Source organism: Homo sapiens, chromosome 16 (assembly GCF_000001405.40).
Source record: "Homo sapiens chromosome 16, GRCh38.p14 Primary Assembly".
Taxonomy (NCBI): Eukaryota; Metazoa; Chordata; class Mammalia; order Primates; family Hominidae; genus Homo; species Homo sapiens.
Genome location: NC_000016.10, coordinates 50,803,985 through 50,811,918, shown reverse-complemented (window position 1 = coordinate 50,811,918; position 7,934 = coordinate 50,803,985). Strand labels below are relative to the sequence as shown.

General features: G+C 47.9%; 1 long non-coding RNA gene across 1 annotated transcript, besides 2 other annotated features; it reads right to left on the bottom strand.

The window, feature by feature from the left end:
• Positions 1,778 to 2,777: an enhancer, noted in NCBI's record as "H3K4me1 hESC enhancer chr16:50843053-50844052 (GRCh37/hg19 assembly coordinates)". NCBI's record gives its function as "activates a minimal SCP1, AML or CMV promoter by ChIP-STARR-seq in naive H9 embryonic stem cells {active_cell/tissue: H9 hESC(naive)}" and the evidence as "EXISTENCE:reporter gene assay evidence [ECO:0000049][PMID:30033119]".
• Positions 1,842 to 1,951: an enhancer, noted in NCBI's record as "active region_10829". NCBI's record gives its function as "activates an Ori minimal core promoter by ATAC-STARR-seq in GM12878 lymphoblastoid cells {active_cell/tissue: GM12878}" and the evidence as "EXISTENCE:reporter gene assay evidence [ECO:0000049][PMID:35858748]".
• LINC02168 (long intergenic non-protein coding RNA 2168) lies at positions 4,290 to 5,247 on the bottom strand. Its single transcript, NR_146573.1, has 2 exons — positions 5,112 to 5,247; positions 4,290 to 4,501 (listed from the first exon to the last, which is right to left on the bottom strand). It is a non-coding gene; the product is annotated as a long intergenic non-protein coding RNA 2168 (long non-coding RNA).
• Positions 5,248 to 7,934: the final 2,687 nt, after the last annotated feature.

The following is a 7,934-nucleotide window of genomic DNA, read 5'->3' as shown; positions in this document are numbered from 1 at the left end:
TGCTAATGGTAGTCCAGACTAGCTTTCTACTTTCTACACTGCTTTCTGGGCTGACTTTCAGTCTTTTTCTCGACCCTGTGCTGAGCCTGGGTTTTATCAAAAAAAGGAGAAAACACACAGGCACATGCACCTTGAGCTGGAGGTGACTACTCCAAGTCACTGAACTTCAACACTACAGAAAGTTTGTCAGATCCCAGAGTGGTGGCTCATGCCTGTAATAGAGCTTCCGGATGCCCAGGCAGGAGGATCACTTGAGGTCAGGAATTCAAGACCAGCCTGGGCAACATAACAAGATCACCTTCTCTACGAAAAATTTTTAAAATTGGCTGGGCATGGTGGTGCATGCCTGTAGTCCCAGATACTTGGGAGGCTGAGGCAGGAGGATCGCTTGAGCCCAGGAGTTCGAGACTAGCTTGGGCAACATAGTGAGATCCTGGTCTCATAAAAAATAAATTCATGAATGTGTCAAAACTCATCTAACTGCTTACTTAAAATATGTGTATGTTACTGTATGTAAATTACACCTCAGTGGAGTTGGTTAAAAAATAATAATGAAAGAAGGAAGGAGTGTAAACTTTGGAAAAGTCTGCAGCTGTCTCTCCTAAAGCTAAAATCCACCAATTCAAGAAGGATCACAGTAGGGTCATGTGTAGTAGCCCCAAACTGTCAGCAATGCCCCTTTCCATCAGTATGAGAACCATAAATAAACGATTGTATATTTACGTAAGAGAGCATCACATAGCTATGAAGTAGAATCACTGACATACACAACAGAGACAGTCTGAAGGATGCACACAGCATGACATCAGACACTACCTGAAGTGTGCACGATCTATGACTCCCTTTACATAAGTTCAAAACCTGGCAACAGGGATCTACAGTGACAGAAGTCAAAATAGTGGTAATCACTGGTGCAGGGAGGTAACTTGACTTGGGGGAGCAGAAGGAGCCTTGGAGGTGCTGGGAAAGGTCCCCAGGTTGACCTAATGTATGGCTGCAAGAGTGTGTGGAAATGTAAATTTCCTTGAGCCCTATACAGGGGCCCAGTGCCCTTTACGATAACAAGGTGCATCTCAGTAACAAAGAGAGAAAGGAAAAGGGAGCAGCCCATGCTTCCCCAGTGCCATTCAGGGTCTAGATTCTGGGCCACCCCTGGCAGCGCCCCTCCTCGCCAGCACTGTGGCTCTGTGCATAGCCCTGGACACGGACAGAATATGACAGAGCTGGAGCCCACACCCACAGCAGATAGGCTGGCAGGGGCGAAGGGGCTACCAGGGGCTGGAGGAAATAAAACTCAAGCTAAGCACAAGGCCGCCCTCCCAGGCAGGGTAGATGGCATGCTCTCTTGGCACTCTGGGCTATAGGATGGGCACCAAACACAGGCCACACTGAAGAGCAGCAGGCCCTTACCTGACTGAACAGTGGGAACCCTGCCAACTGCTCCCTAGCTGAGGGGACAGTGCTGGGGCCCAGCAGAGCCTTGCAGGCATCTCCAGAGAGACCGCAGAAGCAGGCAGGAGCTGAGGGAATCATCTTGGACCAACCTGCCCTCCTCCCACTCGTCATTTTTAGAGTCAATGCCAGGCTACTAGAGGCAGGTGGCCCTGACTTCAAGTCCCACTGGCTCTGCCTGACCCTCAGCTTTCTCATCAGATAATTAGGGATGAAGTTCTCACAAGAATAAGGGAGCATATATAGGAAGCACCTAACCCAGGGCCCAATGTTCACCAAATGGGGAAACTGAGGCCCAGAGAGCAGATACACACACCACAATCCAGGTAGGCCAGGCACAGTGGCTCAAGCTTGTAATCCTAGGACTTTGGGAGGTCGAGCTGGGAGGATTGCTTGATCAATTTCTTCCTCATCCCCTGCTCTGGGGTTTCCAGAATGCAGTCCCTCCCACAGTTGCTCTTCTACTTAGCCCAAACCACCTCATCTCTCCCACCTCCTCTGTCCACACAGCATGTTCCAGGCATGCGCCACTCCCCACAGCACTCTATGTTCAGGGTCTCTCTGTCCCAGAACCCCTATCATCTGAGGCTGGGAAAGGGTGACGGCATTTACCTATGGGGCAAGGGGGCTCCCCATGGTCACGCCTAGCTGCTGCTTTCGTCCTGCGGGACAGTCCCACAGCACAGGTCTGGTTAGGAAGTAACACCAGTGAGATCATTGAGCTCCTTTAGCCCTAGTTTCTCCAGCTGTGAAATAAAACTCTCCATTCTGTCTACTCAGAGGGTGGGGACAATGGGTGTGAAAAGGTTTTCTAGGTGGCTACCTGGAGAGTTGAACATAAAGCAGAGGGCGATGCTGGCTGAGTTTGATTTTTATACCAACTGGACAGAATACAGTCTTCCTCTTTCTTCCTTGCCTCCTGGCTCAGCTGCGTCAGTCTCCCCAGTGTGATCCTGACGTTTATTCCGTATGCTATCCTCTACAGGACCCTCACCACACAGAACGCTCCTCCTGGTCTGGGCATGGCTCCTGTTTTGATCGAAACCATTGGTGCACCCCAGAGCCCCCCACTGCCATGCCCACCCCTTTGATGTGGTGAGCTCTTGGCAGCCTCACCCTCCATGCCAGCTGCAATGCATTCCCTCCAGGGAGTCATAAAAGCCTCTGATCTCCAGGGGCCCAGCCACTGCCCTTCCAGACAGTCTTTTTCTTCCCAGGATGGCCAGGTCTCTTTTCAAAACTGGTGGAAGTTCACATGGGTCTTTATCATGCAAATGGCCTCAGAGGTGACCACTCCACACTCCCAAACACCTCAACGGTATTTGATTGACAGCCCATGCCCTTTCTGGTGTCTGTTCTCTCCTTCTGATAAATGGCCCCTTCCTGACAACCCTCCCTGCACATCCTGCCATTCAGTCAACCACGGATTTTAATTTAGATAATACCGACAAGAGAAAAACACAAACATGAAAGTCATCCGCAGTCACTGTCATCTCAGGAATCAATGTATTCCCTGCAAGCAAATTTTTCAGTACATGCACAATATTTTTTTTTTTTTTTTTTTTTTTGAGACAGGGTCTCCCTCTGTCACCACCCAGGCTGGAGTCCAGTGGCGCGATCTCGGCTCACTGCAACATCTGCCTTCTGCATTCAAGCAATTCTCCTGCCTCAGCCTCCTGAGTAGCTGGGATTACCGGCATGCCACCACAGCCCGGCTAATTTTTTTATTTTTAGTAGAGATGGGGTTTCACCATATTGGTCAGGCTGGTCTCAAACTCCTGACCCCAGGTGATCCGCCCACCTCAGCCTCCCAAAGTGCTGGGATTACAGGCATGAACCATCATGCCCAGCCACAAATTTTTGTATACACAAAATTAGATCTATTATCATACATAAGTTTTTAATAATCCACTTTTTTCACCTAATATAGTGTGAATTTTTGCTCATGTCCTTAAAAAAATTACATTCCAGAAGAATCATTAATGACTGCACATGGTTAATGGTTATGGTATAGTCTAGCTGTACCATAATTTATTACAGTCCTGCACATTTAACTTTTTCAGGTTTGGCCAGCATTATAAACAGTGCTGCTCGGAGTCTGATGGCTAATCTTGGGCACATCTGCGATCATGATTGCCTTAGAAAAATTTCCCAGCAACAGAATTGCTGGGGATGAGGTATGCACAATATGAAGGCTTTTGAAAACCAAGCACTCGTGTATCGGGCACCTACATGGCTCACAATTTGTGCAAAATGGGTTAGGGGTAGCAGGCAGAGAAAGAACCAAAGCAAGAGAAATCAGCATTCTGAGGGGGGGGGTCTCTGCACACACCAGACCCAGACACCATGGAAGTGCCACATGGGGAAGGGGCTTCCAAAGCACTGAGCCACCCTGAACGTCAGAGCTGGAAGGGACAGCACAGACTCTAATACAATTCTCTGTATTAGGAATGGGAAAACTGAGGCTCAGAGAGGTGCCACCCAGGAAGGGGGTGACCTCAGTACTGGAATCTTTCCAACATGGCTGTGTGCTTTGCTTGAAGTGAGCCCTGCTCTGGGAGAAGGGCCCGAGGTGGCAGGCCGAGCCTTGATATGAAAGTATAAACCATTTTCCCCCACCTCCCAAGCAGAGGTGGATGGGAGGGGGTGAGGAATGCTGAGGAGGCCTCCAGCCGGCCTCACACAGGTAACAGCAGCAGTAGTGACCCATTTGAGCCCCCATGGTGTGCCAGATGCTGGTCCCAGGACTTTGGGTCTGTTATCACTGAAACCACACACAAAATGAGCGACAGGGGCACTGTGGTTTTGTCAGAGATGCTTGCTCTCATTTGCACAGAAAGGAGTTCATGCAAGTCTTTTTATTATTATTACATGTCACCGCAACAGGGTATTGCAGTGGGGGAAAGAGACTGGACTCAACTCCCCACTTATGCAAGTCTTAATCCAAGTGGAATCTCTTCTCTGGATTTCTAGAGTGGCAGGTGAGGGGGCGGGAAGCCTCTTCTCCATAATGGCAGTGGTTCTCACACTTCAGCGTGTGCCCGATTCTCTTGGTGGGAAAAGGGGGAAGTGTTCAAAATGCACATTCCAGGGCCCTACCCTGAGAGCTTGATGCTGTAGATTTTGCACAGGGCCTCCAAGACCAAATTCTCTTTTTTAGAGACAGAGTCTTGCTCTGTCGCCCAGGGTGAAGTGCAGTGGTGTGATCATAGCTCACTACAGCCTCCAACTCCTGGGCTCAAGTGATCCTCAAGCCTCAGCCTCCCAAGTAGCTAGGACTACAGAAGTGCATCATTACACCTGTCTAATTTTTATTGTTATTATTGTATTTTTGTAGAGACAAGGTCTTGCTGTGTTGCCCAGGCTGGTCTTAAAGTCCTGGCCTCAAGCCCTGCCCGCCTCAGCCTCTCAAAGCGCTGGAATTACAGGTGAGAGCCACCACGCCCAGCCGGAGCCTGCATTCTTAAATGTCCCTGGATGACTACGACGCAGGTTGGTCCAAAGACCCCTCTCTGGGAAGCACTGAAGACAGTGTGGTTGATTTTCACATTGGGATCCTGACAAAGTAACCTGTACTAAAGTTAACACAGTAGATATGAGGCTTACACTGAGAAAGGGTCGCAAATAAAGGGAGGTGACATCAGAATCCTATTACGTACCGACATTCCCCCCATAAAGCCACAGATTTGTAATTCATTCATTCCTTTGCAGATTCCGGGACCTCACAACCGACCTTACGGCATTCGCCCAGTAGATGGCGCTAGCTCATTTTAAACCCCGTTTGTAGACGGTGCCTGAAAGCTCAAGACAGAGGGAGCAGCAGATGCAGAGAAAGGGCAAGACAGAGCCCATTATGAGAGAGGACAGCCACAAACAGAAATGGTCAACACTAAGCAGCTGTCCCGAAATGACGCAGAGGAAACTTAAACCCTCTTAGGGTGTAGTGTGTAATCTGGTGTGTTGGCCCGACTGCCACATTGGCTTTCAAAATCCCTGCTGCCTCCCAAGCCTGGGTTCTGGCTGCGGCTCGGAGTTTGGGAGCTTAGATCTAGGACAGCGCCATAACCAGTAATGACCACAAGATGGCGCTGCTGCACTCAGGGACAAGATGCCTGAGAAAAATCTCAATCTCATAAAACCATCTAAAGGATAAAGAGTGTGGCTTAAAATAGGATCGTGGAGGGAGATGAGAGGCAGAAAGAGAACTGCTGATTAGACTTGCACCCTGTCTCTCAAGTTCATGTTTACGATATTAGTACTAATGCTGCTGCTGCTGCCACTGGTGGCTGCTGTTTACTCAGGGGCTACGGAGTGCCAGGCACTGTGATAAGCACTTTCCGTGCATGGTTTCATTCAAAGTTCATCAAAGCCCTAGCAGGGGAGTCCTACGATGTCTCCACTTCTGAGAGGAAGCATTATTTGGGGAACTAGAGACTGAGACGTCTTGTGCTTTCTCAAAAGAAATGGGGACAGTAATCTAATTCTGAGCACACTGACAATAGACAGTGGGGCTTCCACGAATAAAAGGCTGAAACAGCCTGGACAACATAGCGAGAGCCCCCTCTCTACAAAAATGTAAAAAGCCAGCTGGGCATGGTGGTGTGCACCTGCAGTCCCAACTACTGAGGAGGCTGAGGCGGGAGGTTTGTGCCAGGCACTGATCAAGGTGGTAAGGAAAGACAATTAAAGGGACTAGGGGAGGTCCTGAGGAGCCCACGATAAGCCATGCAGCCAGGGGATCAGTGCTGTGGAGAAAATGAAGCGCACAGGAGTCTATATGTGCCTGTAGGTGTGTTTGAGATGATGGCAGAAGTAAACTGGAGCTGGCATCCATGGCTCACAAGAGCCCATTATTAAATTTTCAGGAATTTTGCGAGTCAGTTCTTGGATGGATCTATTATTGAATTATTAAGCTAACAAAGTATATAAACTTACAAATTATATAAACTTAAAATGAAATTATACTTAAAATAAAGGTAACAAATACTCGCAACTCATTACTTCCTAATTATTTTATATTTTACCATTTTCTGTGCCAAAGGTAAGCAAACTGTTTCTGGGAAGGGCCATTTAATGACTGCGTGAGCCATAAGGGTTCAGTCAAAACTATTTGACTCAGCCATTGTAGCACAAAAGCATTGATAATATAGACTGAGCATCTCTAATCTGAAAAATCTTAAATGCTCCCTAATCCAAATATCTGAAATGCTCCAAAATCCAAAACTTCTTGAGCACCAACATGACACTCAAAGGAAATGCTCATTGGGGCATTTTGGATTTTGGATTTCTGGGTTAGGGCTGCTCATCTGGTACTGCAAATATTCCCAAATCCAAAAACATCTGAAACCTGAAACACTTCTGGTCTCAAACATTTCAGATAAGGGATATTCAACCTGTACTTAGATAAATGGTCATGACTGTGTTCCAATCAAATGTGATTCACAAAATCAGGTGCTGAGCTGGTTTGGTTCACGGGCTGCTGTTTGCCACCGTGGTTTTATGTCTATCGTATCTGTATGGCGGAAATGCTATGTACTTGTGTTAATCCTACTATATAAGTCTTCCCTAGTTCCTTGAAAGGTGTCATTTTGGTAGCTTGCAATTGGCCGTGGTGGGGGTATTTATACCACCAAATCAGCAGAGGCTACAAACAGGGTTGCCCCTCAGCCCCCAAGAGCTGGTTGTTAAACATTCCAGCACACCCCTGGCTAATGTGGTCTGTGAAGGCCTCTTCAGGGAGGTGACCTCTGAACAGAAACCTGAAACCACACTTAGTCCTTCCAACCTGCAGAGGCCCATCCCACCCCCAATGGGCGACCTACAGGGCACAGTTCAGAAATACATCGGAACAAAACAGTCTGAAGTTTACAGAGATGGCCGGACCCAACAAAACGCACATTTGTTTAAAACACAGTATATTCCAGTGTCATCACCCCACCACGCACTAACCCAGGAGCAGCCTCGCCTCCCTGGAGCCAATAAGAAGGCACAGCGAAGAAGCCACTCATCATGGCCTGAGGCCTGACTGCATTTACTACAGGCTGCTGAGTCTTGCCTGCCACCAAATAGAACCTGCAAGGCAAGGCCTGAGGGGTCGCTTCCAAAGTCTGCTAAAGTTGGGGAGGACTGGAGGAGAGGGACTCAGGGAGGCATCCGTGGTACAGTCAACTTCCTCACCAACTCTTCAAACCCCAGTGTAACTTCAAACTACTTAGTTTGGAAAAGGCCATATTAGGTGTTTAAACAGATTTGTGTGTTAGTTGTAAGGTGATTTCATACACGGAATTTAAAGGTTTTCATTAACTCCTAGTAAAGTGGTACAGTCAAAAGAGTGGACGCAACTTGCAAATTTCAGTCGCGCTTTTGTAATAAGGGTCAGTCTGCTGGGAGAATTACACTATTCTTATAATATCCATTTCAGTCTTCACTCCCCTAATTACTCTCATTAGACCTCAGAATCTACCTCCTCTCCAATAAATCCA